General features: G+C 57.2%; 1 protein-coding gene across 4 annotated transcripts in view, besides 7 other annotated features; it reads right to left on the bottom strand.

The window, feature by feature from the left end:
* Positions 1–556: 556 nt before the first annotated feature.
* The window catches only part of PACSIN1 (protein kinase C and casein kinase substrate in neurons 1), a 69,148-nt gene continuing 46,622 nt past the window's right edge, over positions 557–23,082 (bottom strand). For 3 of the 4 annotated variants that reach the window (NM_020804.5, XM_011514541.2, XM_047418689.1), the window contains exons 2-10: positions 9,412–9,537; positions 8,292–8,448; positions 6,903–7,138; positions 6,228–6,383; positions 5,939–6,114; positions 5,417–5,537; positions 5,193–5,320; positions 3,993–4,180; positions 557–3,359 (exon numbers count right to left, since the gene is read on the bottom strand). In NM_020804.5, the coding sequence (NP_065855.1) occupies positions 3,250–3,359; positions 3,993–4,180; positions 5,193–5,320; positions 5,417–5,537; positions 5,939–6,114; positions 6,228–6,383; positions 6,903–7,138; positions 8,292–8,448; positions 9,412–9,474 (1,335 nt within the window). In that variant the 5' untranslated portion in view covers positions 9,475–9,537 and the 3' untranslated portion in view covers positions 557–3,249. Of the gene's footprint in view, positions 3,360–3,992; positions 4,181–5,192; positions 5,321–5,416; positions 5,538–5,938; positions 6,115–6,227; positions 6,384–6,902; positions 7,139–8,291; positions 8,449–9,411; positions 9,538–20,711; positions 20,909–23,082 lie in introns of those variants that run through there. The other variant, NM_001199583.3, reaches the window with a different exon arrangement.
* Positions 743–1,242: an enhancer, noted in NCBI's record as "H3K4me1 hESC enhancer chr6:34502315-34502814 (GRCh37/hg19 assembly coordinates)". NCBI's record gives its function as "activates a minimal SCP1, AML or CMV promoter by ChIP-STARR-seq in naive H9 embryonic stem cells {active_cell/tissue: H9 hESC(naive)}" and the evidence as "EXISTENCE:reporter gene assay evidence [ECO:0000049][PMID:30033119]".
* Positions 3,594–3,888: an enhancer, noted in NCBI's record as "tiled region #1455; K562 Activating non-DNase unmatched - State 8:EnhW". NCBI's record gives its function as "activates a minimal TATA promoter and a strong SV40 promoter by Sharpr-MPRA in K562 cells {active_cell/tissue: K562}" and the evidence as "EXISTENCE:reporter gene assay evidence [ECO:0000049][PMID:27701403]".
* Positions 6,901–7,882: an enhancer, noted in NCBI's record as "H3K4me1 hESC enhancer chr6:34495675-34496656 (GRCh37/hg19 assembly coordinates)". NCBI's record gives its function as "activates a minimal SCP1, AML or CMV promoter by ChIP-STARR-seq in primed H9 embryonic stem cells {active_cell/tissue: H9 hESC(primed)}" and the evidence as "EXISTENCE:reporter gene assay evidence [ECO:0000049][PMID:30033119]".
* Positions 8,497–8,696: a silencer, noted in NCBI's record as "silent region_17079". NCBI's record gives its function as "represses an Ori minimal core promoter by ATAC-STARR-seq in GM12878 lymphoblastoid cells {active_cell/tissue: GM12878}" and the evidence as "EXISTENCE:reporter gene assay evidence [ECO:0000049][PMID:35858748]".
* Positions 17,904–18,806: an enhancer, noted in NCBI's record as "H3K4me1 hESC enhancer chr6:34484751-34485653 (GRCh37/hg19 assembly coordinates)". NCBI's record gives its function as "activates a minimal SCP1, AML or CMV promoter by ChIP-STARR-seq in naive H9 embryonic stem cells {active_cell/tissue: H9 hESC(naive)}" and the evidence as "EXISTENCE:reporter gene assay evidence [ECO:0000049][PMID:30033119]".
* Positions 20,954–21,248: a silencer, noted in NCBI's record as "tiled region #11676; HepG2 Repressive DNase matched - State 20:ReprD, and K562 Repressive non-DNase unmatched - State 8:EnhW". NCBI's record gives its function as "represses a minimal TATA promoter and a strong SV40 promoter by Sharpr-MPRA in HepG2 and K562 cells {active_cell/tissue: HepG2 | K562}" and the evidence as "EXISTENCE:reporter gene assay evidence [ECO:0000049][PMID:27701403]".
* Positions 21,515–22,418: an enhancer, noted in NCBI's record as "H3K4me1 hESC enhancer chr6:34481139-34482042 (GRCh37/hg19 assembly coordinates)". NCBI's record gives its function as "activates a minimal SCP1, AML or CMV promoter by ChIP-STARR-seq in naive H9 embryonic stem cells {active_cell/tissue: H9 hESC(naive)}" and the evidence as "EXISTENCE:reporter gene assay evidence [ECO:0000049][PMID:30033119]".

Raw genomic sequence — 23,082 nt, 5'->3', positions numbered from 1 at the left:
AGAACCCAGAGCTCCGGTCCTGCCCATGCCCCTGAGAAATTCTCCCCAAGGAGCCCTCCCACGGGTCCCACACAGAAATGCATTCAGAGCCAGGCGAGACGCAGGAAGGCATGGCACAGCCCAACATCACCGCACAGGGAGCTTGGCACTGTGGACAGCCAGGAACCGTGGGCCTCAGCAGTCACTTTTAGAATTCTGCTTTAAAAAGCAAAACCTATTTGAGGACCTCATTCACTCTTGATCCATGAATGTGGAACCCTGAATGCCCCAGCTCTCCTGGTCAGGGCCTGTCACCAGGCACCCGGAACCTGAATGGGCCAGAGCTCCAGGAGCCTCCAGTATCACCCTCCCCAGTCCAGACAAGACCCAGGCCCCCGCAGGGCGAAGGGACCGGCTCTCAGTGGCCTAGTCTGTGGATGGTGGGCCAGGACAGCACCCAGTCCTGCTCGGGCACCACCCCTACCCCCCTGCATCCCAACCACAAATAGCTCTCAGAGGGCTCAGAAACCCCCAGGACTGAAGGTGCACAGACTCAAGATGACAATGCGCAGCCAGGTTGACACAGTTCTGGATTTTATCCACAGTCATACAATCACAACTGATATATATATATATTTGTATTTATATACCTTTAAATTACACAATCATGTACAAAACAGGTGCATTGCTGAGACCACAGCACTTCTCGGAGTTTCACAAGTGTCGGAACTAATGGAGTCAGGAAGCCTAGGGCGGCAGACGGCGGGCGGTGGGGCAGCCCTGGTTCCTTGCAGAACCAGGCCGCAGAATGGTGGTTAACTGGGGACAAAACACATTACTCGCCGAGCCCCACCAGGGCGGGCCCGTGCAGCATCGTGGGTGCAGGCAGGAGCTACAGGAGGAGGCCGTGGGCATGGCAAGGGGCGTGGCCCCCACACTCGGTGTTGAGTGCCCTGACACCAGCACTGGCAGGTAGGGCTGGGCCCTGGAGCTCAGGGGGACTTCCAGGTAGGAGACCCTCCCGCTCTGGGGCCCTGAGGACCTGGGGACTGAGAGAGTGGTCCCAAACAGGGCCCTGGAGGTGGCTGCTCAGGACGGAGGGGGTTTCGAGTCCCTGCCCTGGAGTGGGCAGCTAGAGTGCTAAGAGGGACAGGCTGGAGTCCAGCTGGGGCTGCAGCCCCTCCCAGGTGCTGGGAAGCCGCTGGCACAGAGAGGGGGAGCCCAGGCCCCAAGGTGCAGATTGCCAGCTTCCCACCTTTCCAAGGTAAGCGATGAGGGACAGAGGCCCCCAACCCCAACTCCTGCCTGGGGAAAGGCTGGAGAGAGAGGCTTCTGCACTGGAGCTGGGAGGACTGCAGGCTTCCAAAAGCTTGCTTCAGGCTCTGAGGAGCCCAGGACACACCTCAGGCTGCAGCCGAAGCTCGGAGACCAGACAGTGATAAGGAAGGGGGTGCTGACGGCAGGAAGGAGGTCTGCCTGTCCCCGGGGTGCCATCGCCCCTGGCCCTGAGGGAGGCCTGCCCCAGCTCAGGCCCTGCCAGAGTGTCAGGACCCTCTGTGCCCACATGAAGAAGGTCAGAGCCTTGAGGCTGGGGTCTACTACCTCCTAACAGTGGGCTGTTGGGAGAAGCAGCAGGAGCAAAGGAGGACTGAGGGGAAACAGGGCTGGGCTGGCTCTCTCTCTTTACCTGGAGGCCCAGGAGGCCAGGTGTGCAGGAGGGAGGAGGGCATCTGCGGTCCAGAGGCCTAGAAGTGGCATCCACTGTAAGCAAGTCTCACCTGGTGCTGCAGGACTTCTCAGCTCCTTGCCCCAGAGGTCCCCAAGAGACTTTTCTTCCAGCTCCCCGCCCTCATGGGGTTTTGTCCAACCCTGGTCTGCTTCCCAAGCCCCCGCACCCTCTCGTGCGGTACCTAGCACTCCGGCACCACTGCTTTCACCAACCAGCAGGTGGGCCCTTTGCTCCCACCCACCCCCAAAGGTCCTTTCACTCTGACCCAGGTTTGGAGACATGGAAGGGCTGCCAGCAGGGAGAATGTTGTTCTGGGGGCCGTGGGGACAAGGAAGAAAAACATGTGACTATCTTCTTCCTGAGGGCCAGGATTCCTCCTTTCTGCTGAACTCAGCTGCAGGCTCTCCCCTGATGTCTCAGGCTGGAGGCACCCGTGCGGCCTTCACGGGCTCCCCAGGCAGGCCAGAGAAGAGGACAGAGGAATGGTTAGGCCAAGAGCCTTGCAGGTACAAGGCTTGGCCTCATGGAGGCTGATGTGGAACCCAGTGATTTTATGGTTTTTGGATGGACATGGAGGGAGAGTGGGGGGCCAGGGGAACAAGATGATCTCCTCCCCAGCAAATGGGAGCAGGCTGCTACTGTTGCTGGCTTTGCCGTAGGTTTGGGGGTCCCCACCCTAGGCCAGGGGACTTTTGAGAGGGGACAGGTCCTCTGCAAGTTGCTGAGGGGGTTTGGATCTGCTGAAGAGCCGATGCTGAAAGTGCTGATAGCTGGAAAGAAGGGCCTGCGTAACAGCGTCTTGGTCCCTCAGATGGGCCTGGGGCTGGGAGGGCTGGCACAGCCCGGGCTGAGGGCCTGCATGCCCTTCATTCACCCTCCTGTACCCCAGTGACACCATGACTTCCTCCAGCTCACCCCTCTTTCATGTCTGGGGGACCCCTGGAAACCTCCATGGGGGAGGAGGGTGACCGTTCCTCCTCCAGTCCCACCGGTCCCAAGGGACGTGGCTAGGAGTAGAAGGGTGCTCCCCGGGGCAGAGTGGAAAACTAAAGATGGGGAAGCCTCCCTTCCAGGGGTCTGGAGAGGAGGCCTTTGAGAGCAGGGTGGTGGAGGAAGGGAAGCAGGGCAGGGGAGGAAGAAGAGGTTAGGAAACCAGGCCAGGGAATGGGGCAGGTGCCGGCAGCCTGGAGTGGAGTGGGACGGAGGGAGTGAGGCGGGGTGGAAGGGTCAGGAGACATCCATCCCTCAGGGCTCAGGAGACTCTTTGGTGGAACCCGAAGAGCAGATGTTGTGATGTTGGGCTAAGTCCTAAGACTGTTACCTACCCTGGGGCCACCCCAAGCCCCAGCACCCCAGCCTCCAGGTGGCCCTGCAAATGCTCTGTCTCTGCATACTTTGTTTTGTTCTGTTTTGACTTTTAAAAAAATAAAAGCTTGATCGGAAAATATGTCTGGAACTCTATGGCGAGGGGAAGGAGACGAGAGTGGGAGGGGAGGGGCGGCAGTGGGGAGGAGTGACGGGAGTATGGAGGGAGGGGGCCTCTAGATAGCCTCCACGTAGTTGGCAGGGTAGAGGCCCAGCTGCCCGCTGTCCAGCCGCCCACGGCACCAGCCCTGCTCATCCTCCTCGCCCAGCTTGGTGAGTTCGTCTCCTGGGAAAGAGAACACAGGGAGGGGCTCAGAGAGAAGGCTGCCCCTCCCTCAACGCACCGGCTGCTAGGGGAACCCTCCAATACCCACCTCCTGATTACTGCACTGGGTTTTAGATTCTTAGGCCCCGCCCCTGGAAACCAGCCCCAGTCCCACGCCAACATTCACGTGCCACCCTTGGCATAGGGGTCTTGGCCTACCTCAGCCATTCACCTAATCTGGGTGTCGGGTCCGTCCCCAAAACCAGACCTCGCATCCACACTATTCTCAGGTTCTGACTCCGCCCCTGGCACCAACCAATCTAAATCTTGCCCCCACTCCCATCCTGGGCCCAGGTCACGCCCACAACCCAGGCCACGCCCCATTTAGTTCCCTGCAAATCCTCGCAACCCGTCTTCAGATCCTGCCTCTACCCCACCACACACCCAATGCAGGCCCAAGCCTCTCTTTCAGGCACCACCCCTGCCCCACCACACACCCAATCCAGACCCAAGCTTCTCTCTCAGGCACCGCCCCTGCACCACCACACACCCAATCCAGACCCAAGCTTCTCTCTCAGGCACCGCCCCTGCACCACCACACACCCAATCCAGGCCCAAGCCTCTCTCAGGCACTGCCCCGCCCAGCCGTCCTACCGGCCTTAAAGCTGAGCTCGTCCTGCTCCTGGCCGTCATAGTCGTAGAGTGCCCGCACGCGCACTCCCTTGGAGTCGTCCTCAAAGGGGTTGGCGCCCCCGTTGGTCTCACTGCCCCCAAAGGGGTTCCCACTCTCGTCGTCTGACCACTCGGTGGCGTAGGGCTGGCCTCTGTCGTAGCTGCTAACACTGAGACGCGGAGGAAGGAGCCAGCTTCAATGTCTCCCCGTACCGCATCCCGAGGGCTAACCGCTCCTCCTAATCAGAGCCCTGATCCCGAATTCTACCAAGGCTAGAGCAAGGATTGGCCACATAGGAGGGGTGACCCTCATGAGCTCTTTAAACCGATGTTTAAATGCAGGACCATTTGCGTTATTATTCAGCCCTCGAGGGAGAGGGCATTGAAGGGGACCCCAGGGCACATCTGAGCCTTCATCCGGGAGGAGGAGTACCACCTAATGTTTAAGAGCAAGGATCCTGGAGTCAGACCTCCTGGGCAACATATCTGGCTCTGAGGTTTACTAACTAGCAATGTGATCTTGGGCAAGTCACTTAACCTGTCTGGGTTTCAGTTTCTCCATCTGTAAAATGGTAATATTTACGCACTTGAGCATGAATGAGTTAACATATGGAAAGTGCATAGAACCGTGCCACACACAGTAGGTGCTCTAGAAGGATATGCTACCACTATCTTTTAGAGAGGAGGCTTGGTTCCTGTGATCTGGACCGGGGTCCCCAACCCTGGGGCTGCAGACAGTCCGTGGCCTGTTAGGAACCAGGCAGCACAGCAGGAGGTGAGTGACAGGCGAGGGAGCATTATCGCCTGAGCTGCACCTCCTGTTAGATCAGCCGCGGCGTTAGATTCTCATAGGAGCGCAACCCCCCTATTGTGAACTGCGCATGCGAGGGATCCAGGTTGCACGTTCCTTAGGAGAATCTAACGCCTGATGATCTGAGGTGGAACAGTTTCATCCGAAAACCACCCCGCTCCCATCCGTGGAAAAATTGTCTTCCACAAAACTGGTCCCTGGTCCCAAAAAGATTGGGGACGGCTGCTTTAGAGTGATGAACTACCACTATCTTTTAGAGAGGAGACATAGTTGCTATGATCTAGACCATTTCTTGTCTTCTGAAGCAAAACTCAGCTGCCCCAGAGTGTGGGTCCCTCTTGGCCCCAGGAAGCTCCACAGGAGGCACTCACCTGCCGCGGTCCCCAGCCTGGGATGTGGACTCTACCGCCCCAGTGGCATTGGTCAGCGCCACTCCCTCTGCCTTCTTAGGCTGTTTCTCCTTCTTGGTGGTGGTGTGAGGAAGGTCTGGGTTCCACTCCTGGTGGGGCCAGTGGAGCAGTCAGGCTGGGGGACTATGCCCTGAGGCACCTTTCAGCCTCTTCAGGCTCCCCTTCCCATCCCCACATATCCTCACCTCAAACTGGGGCCAGTTCATGGGCATGCCGGGGCCACTGGTGCTGCGGAACCATCTGAGGTCTTCCTGGGCATCAGCCCCCCGGATGGCCTGCTCCAGCTCACGGTACACATGGATGTAGCTGTGCTCAGGGAGATGGGGGAGGTGGAGGGCACAGATTCAACATGGCCCCTCCTCAACCTTGGTGAGAGGCCAGAGTCCACTCAGGGAAGCAGGGTGCTGGGCATGCTGCCCAGCCAGGAATCATGTGGGCTTTGCAAGAATAAGCTCCGGGCATGCTCGGTGGACTCCTTTTCCCTCCCACCTTAGCCATTCACCCATCATCCAGCATGTGTTTCTAGAGTACCCAGTGTGCGTCAGCTTGCACTCAACAGCCCCTGTGTTTGAAGCCTCATCCTTCTTGACCCCTGCAGCTCTGCCTCCCCTTCCCGTCACTGTGATGGAGGGCTGGGATGCCCTGCATGCCAGTCACACCATCTGCTGGCTGTGCCTGTGCCCTCGGTGCCTGCCATGCCCAGGTACCTGCTGTTCTCAGCCAGGTTGAGGTGCCGTTTGATGTCCAGCAGCACCTCCTTGAGGAAGACCAGCCGCTTTTCCTCAAATTGCTGGCATTGCTCAAACACCTGCTCCATGTTCTCCATGTACTGGGGTGTGGTCTTGCCCACATCTTCCAGCACTTTCTCATACTTCTCCTGTGTCTGTGGGCACCAGAGTGGAGAGAGGGTGACACCTAGCCAGGCCTGCAGCTCCCAGCCACCACCCTCTGCAAGGGGCCCCCAGACCCCCTACTGCCATCCCTGCCCGCCAGCACCTTCTGCACATCCTGCTTGCACTTGTCCACTTTGTCCTGCAGCTTCTTTTGCTGCTCAGGTGTGACCGATTGCTCCGTCTTGCTGTTCATCTCCCGTGTCATGGCCAGCTTTTCCTCTTTGCAAGCCAAATGGTAGGCCTTCTTGGCTGCCTCCAGCTGTGGGGAGGGGGGAATAGGGAGTAGGGTTTTCATTTGTGACCAGCAGCAAACATGGTCACCCATTAACTCCTCCCCTGCCCACTCCCTGGGACCTGTGAGCCCACACTCTTAAGAGCCAGAAGGGATGCAGGCCCTGGCTCCAGGTGTTCGGGAGCAGCGCTCCTCCATTTGTGGCTGCGTCTCTGCTTGGCACTGCCTGCTCCCCTGCAGATACCCTCCTGTCAGGCAGTGCAGTGCCCGCCCCATCTGGGGACCCAGGGGCCAATGTGCTCTTCTGCCCCTGCTGGTATCTTTCCTGGGGACAGTGCCCCTTTTTGCCCATGGGTCTCCTTACCCAATGGGCACTGCCTACCCATCTGTGAATATTTTTTCCTGGAAGGCAGTGCTGCTCCCCTGTGGGCACAATCCCAGAGGGCAGTGCCCAGCCCACCCATCCATAGATGCCCTCCCTGGGATCAGCACCCTCTGATCAGACGGGCCCACCCCACCCCGCCCGTGGCAGCACCCACTGAGCACCTCCTTCATCTTCTTGGCCCAAGGCTTCTGGGCCTTGCGGAAGCCATCTTCAGCCTCCTTCGTCTCCTTGAAGCCACCCATGATCTGCTTGTGATAGGCGTCCTTCTGCCAGTTCTTCACCTTCTCCAGGTCCTCATTCAGCAGATTGTTCTTCACCTCCTGGTGCAGCTCGCTCACCTTGTCTGCCTCTGTCATTATGGCACCCCAGGCCCGCTCCAGGCTGCCATACTGTGGGCCTGAGGGAATGGCAATAGGTCACAAGAACCTCATTGCCCCTGCCCAGAGGCCCCCCCTCACATCTCCCTTCTCTGAGGCTTTCCCTTTCCTCTCATAGCAACAGAAATGCCCTCCTCTGCTCTACGTGGCCCCATCCTCTAGGGCCCACATCAGCCACCACCTCCAGGAAGCCTTCCCTGACTGCTCTGCCCTCCTGCCATGGCCAGCAGCCCTCGCTGCATTCTTCTCACAGTATCTGCGGCCATACCTCCCTCCTCCTTATCTCTCTTGTCAGCATGTGAGCCCCATGGAATGGGGTCGGAGGGGGGCAGCCTGGACCCTGTGAGCTCTGACAAGCCCAGCACAGCGCCAAGCACACAGTAGGTGCTCCAGGAATGTTAGCTGAAGCTTGTGACAGATGCCAAGAGGCCACTGGGGACCAGTCATTCCACACTGACTTGTTGTTTGTGTACTGGCACCAGCTCTGTGCAGGGCACTGTGTTAGGTGGTGCAGGCCCAGCCCCTGCTCTCATGGGGTTTAGAGTATACTGCAAGAGAATAACATGAACAAGTATATGTAAACCGCAACTTCAAACTGTTCTAGATTAAAGGAACCTGAAGACACAATGCATAGAGGCAATGTGCGACTGCACTAGATCCTGGACTAGCAAGCGCAATTGCCATGGTAAATGTGCGTATGGGTCGTATTACATGTCCCAAATTTGATAGCTGAACTCTGGTTACTTAAGCAAATGCTCTTGTTCTTAGGAGATACATGAAGAATTTAGGGGTAAACAGGGATAATGGCTCCAGCTTACTCTCAAATGGTTCAGAAAATATGCATATCAATAAACAGTCAGTGAGAAAACGTGGGGCCAGTGAGCCTGGGGGAAGGGTATGTAGGAATTCTCTGTGCTACTGTTGCAACTTTCACAAAGTTTGAATTATTTCAAGATAAAAAGTGTTTTTTTTTTTTTAATTCAACCTAAAATTGTACAAAATAGAGATGAACAGGTAGGCCTGGTTTGATCTAGGAGGGAACAGCGCCTGAAAATGTCCTGTGTCTGGTAGATGGAGGGCATGGTGCATGCAAGTAGCCGGGGCTCCTAGGACCCAGACCTAGGGGGCTCGTGACGGCCTGGGGGCGCGCACGATGTGAGCCTGGGGGAGCACCTTTCTCGATGAGCTGGCGCCAACGCTTGGCCCAGTCGGTGAGCTGCTGCCCGTACGCCTTCTCGATCTTGGCGCGCTCCTGCACGCAGTTCATCAGGTCGTTGCATAGACGGTGGCCGTCATCGATGCGCTTCACGGTCCGCTTGTAGTTCCCCACCTGGCGGCCAAGCAGCGAGCACCACTCCCGCGGGTTCCCAGCGTCCCCAGCCCCGCCCGCCGCATCCAGCACGGCCACGCCCACTGTCTTCCGCCCCGCCTCCCCGCTTACGGCCTCGCCGTCCCCGCCCCCGCCCCCGCCCCCCGCCCCGCGGCGCAGCGGCAACACCCCAGGGAAACTAACTTTCGGAGGCTCCAGCACCCTGCCTCAGGCCCCGCCGTCTACACGCACCCTCACCCCAATTTAAACATGATTTCCTTGCTGCCACAAAATGCAGAAGGATTTTTAGAATTTGGACTTGGGCTGGAATGAATTATTCATTTTGTTTTTGCGAGTTAAATCTATTATATTTATATAGAGTCATATAAGCGTTGAGTTGAGCTGCAGCTTCTTGACATAATATTATGTTTTGTCGACATCTCATTAAACGCTTATTAATTTAGGTTTGGCAGTTTTCGTCTTGGGTTTCCGGAGCCAATAGCAATTTTTTTTCTCCAGGTCTCAAATATTTCCGAAGGTTCTGAAAATGCTGGCTTCTGGCTGTGCCTCCCGCTCTGCGGCCCCGTGGGGCTCTGGGAGCTCACTCCCTCTCTCTGTGTCCGGCGCTCCACCCCTGCCCACCTCAGGATGGGGGGCGAGCGAGGGAAATAGGAACAGCTGAGAAAGGCTGTGCTGTACCTGCCTGATGGAAGTGCCACAGAGTCACAAAGGGCCTGTTCCCACATTGTGAAATGCCACAGGCTCTCTCTGGGGGCAGCTGTGGGGAGAGAGGAGCTCCTGGCTCAGTGGGCAGTGCTCTTAGCCACTTCATGGCTACCGCTGCCTGTTGGACACCCAGGGCTTTGGAGGGGCCTGGGGGACTGCGGAGTGGGGCCTGAGGTCATGGGGTGAGTGATAAGGGAGCCTGGCCTCCAAACAGCCAGGCTGTCTGGTCCCCGAACCTGGGGATCATGAGAGCCTCACCTCCCAGAAGCTGTCGGTGGTCTCCTCTGGCGCCAGTGAGGCCTCATCGTAGGAGCTGGACATGGTGTAGCCGCAGGGGGATGGACAAGTGCGGAGCTGCGGTTAGCAGGCTCGGCTGCTCATGCACTGGGAGGGCAGGAGAGAGATCCCTGGAGATGAGGGAAGGGCCTTCCACCCTTTGCCCCATTCCAGGCCTGGGTCCCCAAACCGATGGGACCCAGGGAGGCTTGCATTAGGATGCCATCTTCCTGTCCAGAGACTAACTCACCAGACTTAGGTAACCCCAAGAGTCGCCCTGTAGCACCCTCATGCCCAACTCCCCATCCCTCCTCCTTCCCCCTCCCTGGAATCCATCCTCTATCCAGTATGAGCACCTCCGTTCAGAAGCCAGCCCCAGCCCCCAGAGCTGGCTCTCTCTCCTGGACTGTTGGAGCCCAGGCTCAGCGCCTCCTCAGTTATCTGAGCCCCGGGACCCTGTAAATGCCCTTCTGTCTGCCCTTGCTCCCAACCTCAGCAGCCCCCATTAGCTTCTTACAAGTCTCCTGAGAGTCCCAAATGTGTGGTGTCCTGGCCCACAGGTCACACCACCGAGATCTATGGGAGCGTCTGGGGTGGCTGTGTCTGCCCTGGATCTGTCGGCAGGCATCAGGGTTATCCAATCTAGGCCGTGCGCTGCCCCAGGGCCGAGGTGGGTACTCCCCTCCTCCCTTCCCCCAGCCAGGCCTCACTGTTACCCCAGGCAAGAATGGCTCAGTAGTCAGGAGCCAGGACTCAGAGGGCCAAGGGCCTGGTTTTCAAAGAGGCAGCAGAGTCCAGGCTGCGCCTGGCCCTGATACAAGCTGCCAGCCTCTAGCTGGATCCCGGCACCAGGGGACACCTCCCTGCTTCTGCACTGCAGTCCCAGGACTGTGAACCCTGACAGTGTGGATGCTCAGGGAAGGCTGGCCTCTGTAAGATTCAGCCCAACCTGGGGGTCCAGCAGTTGGCTCTCAGGCTCAGGGCAGGGGCAATAACACGTAAGAATGGTTGGTGGAGGATGTCCCTCCCCCTAGGGCTCCCCATCTGTCCAGGGCCTGGGGCTCTTTCCCAGTAATAACCCAGTATTGCCTCTTGCACCCCTCAGGCATCTAAACATATTTTGTTCCCTCCCTTTTAGAAGAACCACAGACAGACTTTCCCATAAACTCACGCACAGTGCGGGTGGGTGAGAGGGAGGACGGCTGGATTTCATCAAGGGACAAAGAAATGAGTCTGAATTTTTCTTTTCTTAACTTGGCACTTTTCACTTATAAAGCAGTACTTGCTTCATAAGGAACGTTTTAAATTTAGATACAGAGAAGTGAAAAGCAGGGATGTTTAAGGAAGCATGGTCAGCCAGGTGAGATAGGTATCCCTGGGGCCACAGTCCCTTCTAGAACCCTTAATGTCACATAGAACTCTCCCGTAATGCATAGCTGCCAGGGGGCTGCTGGGGGGCGGGCAGGAGTTGGTTGGAGGCATTCCCTCATGGGAACAAAGGTAGAACCTGAGCCATTTGTCTCTCGCCCATGGTGATGGGAAAGTAACTTAATACCATACAATTGTTATTGATACAATTATGGGGTACACACCCTTCACCCGGGAACACCACTTCTAGGAATTTACTTCCAGTCAGTCAGCCAGATGATGCACAAGATTATTTACTACAGTACTACTTGTAAACGCAAAAGGCTGGAAACAGCCCAAATACCCGTCCACAGAGGGCTGGGTCAATAAGTTATGGTGCAGGCCTGTCTTGGAAGTTCTGCTCCTAAATGGAACCTTCCCCAGACCATATCACTAAAGCAAAAAGAGCAAGGTGCAGACCCATGTGGCTGGGGAAAATACATAAGTAGGGAGTGTTTTGGAGGACCACAAGAGAAACTGGTGATGGTGACCATCTTCGGGGAATGGGGTGGCCAGGGGACGCAGGGGGAGAGAGACTTTTCTCTGTAGGTCCTTTTGTGCCCTTTTAATTTTGCCTCATGTGCATGAATTTTTTAATGTGCCTCGTGTGTACATTTTTTAAACCCTCTGGCCTGTGCTGGGGGAGAGCTGAGGGAGCTGGAAACCAGGATGGAGTGTGCTGTCAGCATGGAGGGAAGGGACAGTACAGCTGAGACCTGGTATGTCAGGCCAAAATACCCAATGGCTGAGACCACTCTCTACCTCGTCCAGAAAAGGCCAGGCCCAGGGTTCTTGGAACTTGCTGGGGTCCACCCTTGGTATTGGCAGGTAACGTGTCTCTCCAGCTTCCAGATGAGGGAGCATGTGTAGTGAAACAGCTCCAACCTCAGGGTCCCTGCTCTGCTACCAACCTGCTGTGTGACCATGGGCAATTCGCAGGCCTCTCTGGGCCTTGCTGGGAAATGAGGACGAAATGACTGACTTAAGGATTAGATGAGGTGGTGAGTGTCCAGCCATGGCAGACCCTAGGCCCTCCCAACTCCAACCTCGGTTCTGACCCACACAGTGGTGGGCTCAGGAAGAAGAGCCAGGAGACAGCATGTGGACCCCCGTATCATGTGGCTAGACACACCTTCCCATCCTGCCTCTGCCTTTTCCAAACTAACCTCACACCCCCACCCTAGGGGCAGGCAGGAGGCTCAACTCTGGACAAACGCCATGTCCTTCCTGAAGGGCAGTCGGTACCTGCTGTCACTAAAAAGGCTGCATCTCTCACCATCAGAAAGGGATGTGGCTGTCACCTGGCACTCCCTGTGGGCAAACTCAACATGCTCTTGGCCTTCCTCAACCCTTCAAAGGGGCACCAGGCCCATCTGCCTTCTCTCACCAGTGGCTGTGAGGCTAGCTCAGCCCTGAAGACACTTTAGTGTCTCAATAAATGACAGCTGGCATTGATTGGGCACATACCATTCACATGTCAAGTCTACCTCCTCTAATCCTCACCACAACCTGACCAGGCAGATTCTGCTGTCACTCCCACACTGTAGCTGAGAATCCAGGGGCTCCGGGATGTAACAGGGACAGAGCTTGTCCAGGTACCACGGGAGAAGTGAGCCCAGGGCATCACAGCATCCCTGTGTGATCTTATGATTTAAGGCTATCACAGCAATGACAGTGGCCAGCAGGCAGTGAGGGCTGAATGTCCCATGCACGGTGCACAGCACTGCATGTGGGAGCTCAATGAATAGACAACGGCCAGGTGATGTGGGAACTACTGTTACACTGTTTTATAAATGAGGAAACTGAGTCACGGAGCAGCGAAGTAACCTGCCAAAGGTTGCTCAGTGTGATGATTAATTTCAGGGGTCAGCTTGATGGGATTAGGGGATACCCGGAGAGCTGGTGAAGCATTATTTCCGGGTATGCCTGTGAGGGTGTTTCGGGAAGAGGCCGGCTTTGCAATCAGTGGACTGAGGAAGGAAGATCTGCCCTCATGCAATGTGGGCGGGCACCACCCAATCGGCTGAGGGCCCAGAGAGAAGGAAAAGGCAGAGGAAAGGTGAGTTCTTGCTCTCTTCTGGAGCTGACGCTCTTCTCCTGCCCCTGGACATCAGATCTCCAGGTTCTGTGGCCTTTGGACTCGGGGACTTTGCATGAGCAGCCCCTGAGGTCCTCAGGCCTTTGGCCGCAGATTGAGAGTTACCCCATGGCCCCCCTGGTTCTCAGGCCTTTGGACCTGGAGCCATGGTACCGGCTCCCCTGGCCCAGCAGCTCACAGACAGCGTAACATGGGACTTCTTCACAATCACATGAGTCAGCTCCCCTAATAAATCCCTTCTCATCCATCTTTCTCTACCTACCTATCTATCCATCTGTCATCCATCCATCCATCCATCCACCCATCCATCCAATTGGTTCTGTCTCTCTGGGGAGCCTAATACACCCAGCTAGGGAAAGGTGCAACTGGGATTTGAGCCCAGGGTCTGGATCCAGAGCGCACACTCCTGACCACCACACTATCATTACATAGAGAGGTGTTGACATTAACATTGGCTATCACTAGCTGGCGTTTACCGAGTGCCTACTGTGTGCTGGGTACGGCTGTAGATGCTTTATGTGTGCCTTATTTTCATTTACAGATGGGGAAACTGAGGCACGGAGTGACTAAAATAGTGCACGCATGGCCTTTGAGACAGTAAACAGCGGAGCTGGTATTGAATCCTCGCTCCAGCCGAAGCCACTGCTGCGTGGCCCCTGCTGAGCCTCATTCCCCGGGACCCCTGAGGGAGAGCGGAAGCAAGGCTTACTGAGCACTTCCTCAGGACAGGCCCTCACACCCAGCACCTCGTTCATTCTCACAGCAATCCTCACAGAGAGGGGCTTCCTCTTTTTCTTCTTGCGGAGACCAAGACTCAGAGAGGTAAGCCAAGATCGCGCAGCTACAGGTGGCAGAGTAAGGACTTGACCCTGGGGCCTGTGCAGCGCAGAGTAGGATTACATCCCAGACTCTGGAGCCAAATAATCTGGATTCAAACCCTGGCTCTCTCATGTATGGGCTGTGAGACCGTGTGTGGCTCTCTCCCTCTTCCCAGGCCTCGGCGTCCGCATCTGTAAAATGGGCTGTTGCAAGGATTAAACGGAGCACTAGACCTCGGGCCACTGGACCGCGCCTGACACACGGCGAGCTCTCCACAGGTGTCGGCGCTTACTATCCATCCACCACCGCCGTTGCCTGTAGTGGAGCAACAGCTCCATCTCAGGGGTGGCCCTCTCTCTCTGTGGAGCCAGGAAGGGTCTTGCCTTTCTTGTCCATGAGGATGATGCAGCCTGTGAAGTGCAGACTGGGGGGTGCAGGGCTCTGGAGCCAGCTCACCCAACTACTACCAGTGAGATGTGGGCCAAGTCTGTAATGGCGGCCTCAGTGACAAAGGAGCCCCAGCGTGGAGGGCATCTCTCCTCAGGCCCAGGCATCTCCTGAAAGCTGCCTCTAGGAGACCCTGGAGGGCAGGGCCCTCAGCTGTGTTCCATCTACTCCTGGCTTGAGGAAGGGACAGAGGAATTAAGAGCAGGAGCCTGGAGAGGCCAGGCCTCGTGTGGACCAAGGCGCCGTGTGGATTCCTACCTCAGTGGTCACCAATCACAGGCCTGGGAGTCACCCAGCTGCTCCCAGCCACCAGCAGGTCCTGAGCCCCCACCTCCTCCCTGTCCTCTCCGTATTATTCTTCACAGCCCTCGTCACCACCGGACACGGCATCCACAGCACGGCATTCATCACGTTGCGTGTCCTCCTTCCCACAGGAATGTCACTTAGTCCAGTCAGCGGTGTTTATCTGTCTGGTTATCTGCCGTATTTCCAGCATCCAGTGCAGTGCCGGCAACATAGTAAGTGCGCAGTGCACTTTTGTTGAATGAATGAATGAATAAATGCCAAGGACCTTCTAACATTCACTTAATAAACAGCAGAAATGATGAATTTTCTATCCCAGAGCCAGACACAGTTACCTGCACACAGTGGGCGCCCAGCCAATGTTGACGATGATGATGATGACACAACCAGAACCAGGAGCCAGGAGCCAGGAGGGGGTCCCGAGTCCCACCCGCCCTCTGTCTCCAAGCCGGGCTTCTCCTGGAGAGCCCTTCCCTCCTCTTGGTCAGCCCTCAGGGCCCGGTTCCAGGGTCTCCTCCTCCCTGTGGTCCCAGGACCATCCTGCCCTCAGCATGGCTTCCTCCGTCCTCAGGGGTACTGCAGCACGCAGGCGGCATCAACAACACAACCATTTTTGAGCGCCTACTGTGTGCCATTGTGAGCGCCTCCTCACATGCTTTATCTCCAAACCTCACAGCCCACTGAGATGGCTGTTGCCTTCCCTGTTCTAGAGATGAGTACCTGAGACTCAGAGAAGTTAGATAACTTGTCCAAGGTCACACAGCAGGAAGGAGGCAGAGCCAGACTCAGACCCAGGGGTGGGTCCTTCCCCTGCCCCTGCTCCTGGCTGTCTGTGGGTGTCACTCCAGCCCTCCTGGCCTAAGGCCTTCTCCCCACGGAACAGGCTCAGCTCAGGGACAGGGACATGGGGAAACCAGAGCTGCCTGCCTATCCCCCAGGGTCTCAGGTCCTACAAATATTCCCAGCAGTGCCCCCCAACCCACTCCTCGCCTTACCCAGAGATAGACCGACAGGCTCACAGCGCCTGGCTTGGGGCCACACAGGGACTGACCCATCTCTGCTGGGGCTCCCAATGCAGCGGGGAGGATTTGAGTCAGCTGAGATGCACCGTGTCCACTAGAGCCTCTGCCCCTTTGCTCATGTCTCCCCACAACCCAGGCTAGGGCACATGCCATCCTCCCTCCCATCACTCACCCCTCCCCAAAAAACCTCTGCTTCCCTTCAAGGGCCAGCTCAGTCCCTGTCCCTCCAAGAAGTCTTCCCCAAATACCCCAGCCCTCGCCTACCCCTCCCCTCATCTGACACCAACACTGTGGTGCCATTCTTAGGCATGCCCTCCCCTAAACAGTCTTGCTGGTTCAGGAGTGGCAACCTGCTGTCCCAAAAAGCTGATTAGCACAATAGCTAACAGCACCAAGAGGCCAGACAGAATATCTGCAGATGAGGTTCAAATCCCTGCTCTGCCACTGACCTTGGCAAGTTAGTTAAACTCTCTGTGCCTCGGTTTCCTCATCTGCAAAAGGAGGTGATGATAGCACCTACCCCATGGGATAGCACCTACCCCCATGATAGCACCTACCCCCATGGGGTGTAGGAGGAAATGAGTGCCCAGTGCACAGAAGGCCCAGAGTTCACCTGCAGTATTATGGGTGTTAACAGCTACAGAGCCTTCATGACAGGAGCCTCATCTCTCTGGATCACCTGGCTCCCCTTCTCCCCTCCTCAGCTAATACCCCCAGAGCCCTTCCAGGACTGTTGGGCCTCACCTGGGACCTTCAGGTCTCCAGGTCCCCCATGAAAGGAAGATCTCAGGCCTGGCTTCCTCTTGCTTTCTCTTTGGGTCTGAAAACCAGTCCCCTGGACCTCCATCCCCTCTAACCTGGGGTGTTCCAGGCAGTCCCCAGGGAGCCTGCTCATTAGAAATGATGATCCCAAGTTGAGGAGGAAGGAGGAGGATGGAAACACAAATGGGGAGACTCAGGGAGGCAGAGCTCAAACCTTACTCAAGGCTGGAGGGCCCCAGAGAGGCCCAGGGCAGAGGGGACCAGCTGGGCTCATCCCAGCTAGGAAGGGGCCCAAGGCACCCCTTGGTGGCCCACCTGTGAGAACAGGCGAGCCTCAGACACAGCCTCAGGCACCCCAGCCTCTGTGGCTGGCCCCTCCTCCTCCCTAGCCCACTCCTGGTCTGACCTTTCACCCTTCACCACCCCTGTGCTCTCCCTTCCTCCTCCGGCCACCCTCTTAAGAGCCCAGACCCTCTCTCTCTCCTCCAGAAAATCACCCCAAAAGGCCCACATCCCTCCCCTGCTCTCAAGCCAAGTAGACAAGACACCATTTTGCACAGCCCACATCTTTAGAGGGCCTCTAAGCCTGTTTCAGGTGGGGCAGGCTCATCAGGGAGTAAGACCAGCCCTTCCCTCATGGAGCTTACATTCCAGCATGGGCAAAAAGCCAAGAAGAAAATACAATAAATATCACCACATTAGGTGGTGACAACAGTTCAGAGAAAATTCAGCCAGCGTGAGGGACAGGGCAAAGGGTGGTGGAGAGCCACTGGAAGGTGGCGTTTACATACCCCAGCTCCCCTGCCCTCCTGGACTGAGTCAAAGGTGTGTTCAAAACCCCTCCCAGAGCTCTCCAGCGGGAGTGAGCTGAATTGCCCGCAGTGGTAACTTGCTTGGTAAAGCACCCTTTTTTGTCTCCCTGTGTCATTTTCCCACCCTCAGTGTTTCTGTGGGCCACCTCCTAAATGAATCATATCCTTGTCTTGGGGTTGGCTTCTCGGGGAGCCCAAAGTGAGATGCCCACAGATGGGGAGGCAGAGACAGGAGCTTGTTGGGAAGGCAGGGCCCCCTCCTGTCTGCTCTGGGGCATCTCTTTTCTCAACACCAGTCAGCACACACTTGGCCACTCTGCAGGGGTCCGTCTGTCTGTCCTGAGCCCACTGCCTCTGTGGCCACCTGGAGAGCAGGGGCCAGGCTGCCTCCTCTGTGGGCAACACTCCTGGTGGGAGTGCGCAGCACGTTTTTGCAACACAGGGAACTCAAGGATGAGTTCTGACCAGGAAGAAGGGGCCGTGGCCCTCCCGCTTCAGTGGCTTGGGGTGGGATGCATGCAGCTTGCCCTCTTCCGGGGCCTGGCCGGGCAGAGCAGCTCTGGTCACAGCTGGATTGGAGAAAAGGAAGATGTGTGGACCCAGTGCAGGCCCAGTGTCCTGTCCAACCCAATGTCCCTGAGGCAATGGCTCAGGTAGGTGGGCATCATCTTCCCCTGTGAGGACAGAATCATAGGCCCCCACGACAGCACAGATGCTGAGCCAGCCCCCGAGGGAGACACTCCTGGCTTTACACTGCAGCCCTGATTCTCAGGGTGCAGAGCTGGGCTACAGCAGTGAACAAGACAGAAAACCCCCTCCCTTGTGGGGCTGACATTCTAGAGAGGCTGAGCAGGCAAGAAACGAGATAAATAAGTGGTAATCAAGGATGTTAGAAGGTGATAAGGGCTGTAAAGGAAAGCAAGGCAGGGGAGGGGACAGGGAGGGAAGATGGGGGCGAGGAGTTGTGCTTTTTTATGGAGGATGGTCAGAGAAGGTCATTCTGAGCAGGTGGCCTTGGAGCAAAGGCCTGAGGAAGGTGGAGAGGGAGCCAGGCAGAGCACTCAGGCAGCCTGAACAGCCCATGCAAAGGCCCTGGGGCAGAAGCCGGCTGCCAGGCTTGAGGAGCAAGGGGGTCATGTGGCCTGCGCAGATGAGGGAAGGGGAGGGGTGAGGCTGGAGAGGTTGGGGGAGGGAACTGGGGAGGGCCTTGTAGGTCAGAGGGAGGCCTTTAGCTTTTTCTGAGTGAGATGGGAGCCATTGCAGGGTTTGGGAAGAGGTGGGATGTGATCTGGCTTCTGTTTTAAAGGATCTGTGGCTGCTGGGGGAAGAGCAGACCATGGTGGGGCAGAGTGGGCAGGGAAGCTCTAGGAGGTGGCTGCAGTCCCCCAGGTGAGGGAAGATGGGGGCTCAGAATGAGGAGGTAATGTTAGAAGGAGCGGGAAGAGGCTGGAGTCTGGAAGTGCTGTGGCATTCCAGCCAACAGGATCTGCCGATGGTTTGGATGTGGCGGTGAGATGAGAAGTCAAGGATGGCTCCTGCCAGAGCAGCTGGCAGACAGAGCTGCTGTTTGCTGAGCTGGGGATACCGAGGGAGGAACGGCGTTGGGGGGATGGGAGCTCAGTTCTGGAGCCCTGAGATGCCCATGGACAGCCAGCTGGAGATACCTCCTCACCCTTGCCAGCTCCTGCACGGGGGTCAAGGGCAGTGAGGAGGGGCCAGCCGGGAGCCAGATTGTTCCTGTGTCCCAGGCCCCAGCCCCTGCTGAGCTCCAGGCCTCTCAGTGCTCCTGGGGCCTCCCTCAAGCTCCCTTTCACATGAGAAGGTCTGCCAGGGGAGGTCAAGTCTCAATCCGGCTTCCAGGCAGGTGCCCTGGGCTGTGGGCACGTTGTGTGCAATGAATTGGGCCAGGGAAATGTGTCCCAGAAGCCCATCCTGGCAGCCCCGAGCCAACCTGTGAAGCAGCAACCTGACAGGGAGGGGCCCGGGCCTAGAGGAGGCAGGCCAGGGGCTGGAGGTCGGGGCCAGGCCTGGAGGGCCTGCTGAGTGGACAGACGTTCCTTCAGCTCTCACCCAAAGAACCTGCCCTCCAGGCCTCACCAGCCCCTGCTCCAGTGGAGGTGGGGGCGGCCGCTGACGGGCAACTGAGGCCAGCAGGCCTGGCTGCAGGAGGTGAGGCAGGGCAGATATCAGCTCCCACCCTGGTCAGGAAGGAGGAGAGTGCGGGGTTCGGAGGAGCAGGGGCAGGCAGTGTCAGTGCGCACAGGCGAATCTGCATCCCGTTTCTGCCATCCCCGAGACCTGCCCTTCTCCCTCCTAGGCCCTTGATCCCAAAGTGGGAGCCCCTGAGTCCAGCACTCTGTGAATGTGCGTCTAACGTTTGCAGAAATGAGCAGAGCCACGCCAGCTTCTCAGCGTGTATGCCCCTACCCATCATGTGACCCCTCCTCAGCCCCTGCACCAGGCCCTCTGACCCGAGTGCCCATGGGAAGGGGACACCCCACACTGTGGTCCAGTGAAAGACCCAGCTGGGCTCTCAGGGGGTGCGGGAGAGAAAGCAGGTGGAGAAGGGCAGGACCTTAAGCACGCCCATAGTTGCACACATCAACCTTCTGCCCCTTGCAGGCTAGCATCTCCTCCCTATGCCACCCAAGGTGGCTCAGCTCCATTCAGGGCAAAACTGGACCAGGTGTGCCCCACCGTGAACTCCTGTGGGCCCCCTCCAGCCCCCTCCCTGCCCAGAGTTGGGGCAGAGGGCCCAGCTCCTCCCCTGCACCCCACCCTGCCCCCTCCTGAGCAGCTGGCAGAGGCTCCTCCGCAGTGGCAGTGCCCAAGAGCTCCCCCAGCAGCAGCGAGTCTGTCCCCAGGAGCAATGCAGCAGAGGGACAGGGAGCGCAGGAGGGAGGGCCACAGGCACTCCCACCCCATCAGAGGCCTGCTCCCTGGTACCCCAACTTGGAGACCCTGGGCTTGCTGGGGATGGGCATGGGGGTCCTTTGGGAGATCTGGGATTGGGGACAGTTCACTAAGTCTCCAGGGAGAACGAGGAAGGGGAAGGGCCTGAGGTTGGGGCAGGAGGTAGATGCCTCTGACCTGACCAGGGGGCTCTAAGCCCAGTGCCTGAGACCATCCAGGGCCAGCAGGGAGGCTCTGGTGTCATCGGGGGTGGGAGGAGAGTCTGCTTATCCCAAATGGCCAGAGCCTAGCAGTGCCTTGAGTGGGGCAGGGGCATCCTTACTCCTCCCTGCCCTCTGCCGCATACCCTGTCTAGCTTCAGACTGTGGGTCCCTGGAGGCTCCAGCCTCCCTCGGCCTGCTGCCCCAAGGAGGGGGCATGGCTACAAAGTCAGGACCTGTGGCAGTGGTGGAGACAAGAGGTACAGAGGAGGAAAGGCAACAGGGACAGTCCCCCTGATGAGGAGGATCAAGGTTCTGACGGTTCTGACAAGACCTCTCAGGATGCTGGCTGCGCCCCACACCCCGCTCCCCAGCCTGGTCCCTGGCCCGGCCCCTCCAGCTGGCCTGTTTGGCTCCTATCAGGTGCCGCTGGTAGGAAGGCAGGGCAGCCCCGTTCCCCACTCTCCACACAGCCTCTTCCAGCCATCGAAATGCCTACCTGGGCCCGTGTGGGCACCAAGCTGGGGGCAAGTAGGAGCTTACTGCCCCCGCTGGGCCAGGCCAGGGCTGGAGGGGCTGGCTGTCCTCCTTCTCCTCCGTGGTGGCGGGCGGAGAGGGGGCCTGCTGCCGGGCTGGGGGCTCTGTCCTCTAGGGTTCCCTCCACCGCTCACTCAGGAAGGCAGCAGCGCCAGAACTGCAGGAGCCAGCTCCCTCCACCGCTGCCTCCTCCCCACTCCCCGATCCCGACCCGCCTCCTTCTCCAGCCACCCACCTCCTTCTGCTCGTTTCTATGGCAACTGGGCAATGCTCTGCACAGACAGCCTCCCTCCCATGTACAGCAGGGGATGCCCGCCTCCCGCACGGCGCCGCATCAACATGGGCACGCATGCATACACTTCACGGCCACAGAGACGCTGGTGGGGACACAGGCTCGGCCGCCGCCCTCGACTGGGAAGCCCTGCTCCATCCCCTTTCTTCCCTTTCTCCCCAAGATCCCACCTCCCAATCGTCCTTCCAGACAGCTGCACCTTTCCATGCACTTTGCTTGGGTCCTTAAAATCTAAGCGCTTGCTGCTGGGTGAAGCATTTCTATTTGTTTAATCATTTATTCTCTCATTTGATGAAAATTCAAAATTTTGAGTTTTTTCTAGGCCAGGCTGAGTGTGAGAGATGCTCATGCACAACCTCGTGCCATAAGGCTTCATACCCATTTGACAGATTGGAAGCTGAGGGCCACAGCTGTAAAAGAATTGGAGAGTCCAAGGTTCCTGGGCTAGCTGTCGGCACCGAGACCTTGTGATGCCAGTTCCGACACTTCTCCCACAGGCCATGGCTGCCACACACCACTCAAGCGCACACATGGGTGGCCCTAAGCACTCGTGTGTCCAGGACATGTGCACCCCAACAACACACTTACAGATACAAACGCCCATTACATATATTTGCACACATGCATTTCCACAAGTCTGTGTATCTTCCTACAGTGCACCTATAACACACACACACGTAACTGTGACACTAATATCAGCATACGCACATCTTTAAGACACGTGCACACACATCTACATGGATTCAGAACCTGTAACACACAAGCCCTTCCTACACAAACTCAGTGCGGCACACACAAGCCCTGGTGCTAGCCTCATGAGCAGGGTTCAGGGATGGGAGTAGAAGTGTCAGGATCAAGGGGCTGAATAATGAGTGGCCTCCCAGGGGAGGATTTGCCTGTCTGCTCCGCCCCACCTGGGGATCAGGCACTAATCTGATCTCAGCAGTGTCTCAGCTCTGCTGCTGAAGGGGGATGGGGTGGGGTTGGAGACAGGGCCCACCCTCCCTCACTCTCATTCTGGAAAACCACACTAGATCCCCCCTAGAGCCCCCTCAGCCTAGGGGGCTCACACATATCCCTACTCACCCCTCTAGCATCGGTACTTGGAGTTATGACAGGGCACAGTAAAATGACTCTCCCAGAGAGGAGAATTCCAAGCTTCACACAGGCTTCTAGACTTCTGCCACCCCCAGGAGGGACAGTGTGGGTGGTGGGTGGCAGGAGACCAGAGTGGGGACTGGGGCCCAGGACACACAGCATGCCCCACAGGACATGCTATTCCCAGCCCAGCACCACTGCAGGGCCTCGGGCAAGGGTCACTGCAGCCCCTGTGCCCCAGGGTAATTCTCAGGGACCCCACACTCCCCAGAGAGGGAAGATACAACAGAAAGGAACCAGAAGCCACCACAAATTAAGCAAAAGGCCCTCTTGTAATAATGATAGCTCTTCCGTATTCATCACTTCCAAGACCCCTCTCAATCACAAGGCTGCTGCCAGTGAAACTCAAACATAGCTGCATGAAGCATTCCAGTATTAGAGATGCCAAGAGATAAGAGAAAAATCATCTTGAGATGCAGAAATGGGGCATTTCATCCATTCAACAGACACTGACTAGGCACCTACCATGGGTCAGAGATGGTTCTAGACACTGAGATACAGCTGTGGGCAAAACAGAGTCCCTGCCCTTGAGGAGATGATGAGCTAGTGGGTTCTCGGAAAGCCCAGGCCTGTCTCAAGGGCTCTCCTGCAGTCTTTGGCTGTCACAGGGCCTTGCATGGTGAGGCTACTGGACTGATTAGGAAATAGGCTCTGAGAGATGGAGCAGTTTGTCCACAATGACAAAGGCAGCCAGTGGATAGGCTGGGATTCGAGCCCTCGGTCTGCCAAGCCTTTTCCAGTGCCTCACATTGATTCCATTAAGAAAGATCTGATTGGGAAACACGGCACCAGCCACCCAGTTTCTAAAAGTTTCATAGTCAAGTTCGCTTCTATCCTTAGATCAAAGGCAGGATGAGATCGTAAGTACTCAAAGTCCCAGTCA

Source organism: Homo sapiens, chromosome 6 (assembly GCF_000001405.40).
Source record: "Homo sapiens chromosome 6, GRCh38.p14 Primary Assembly".
In the NCBI taxonomy this organism is placed as follows: Eukaryota; Metazoa; Chordata; class Mammalia; order Primates; family Hominidae; genus Homo; species Homo sapiens.
The sequence above is the reverse complement of the archived record's forward strand: the minus strand, read 5'-3'. Positions and strand labels throughout refer to the sequence as shown.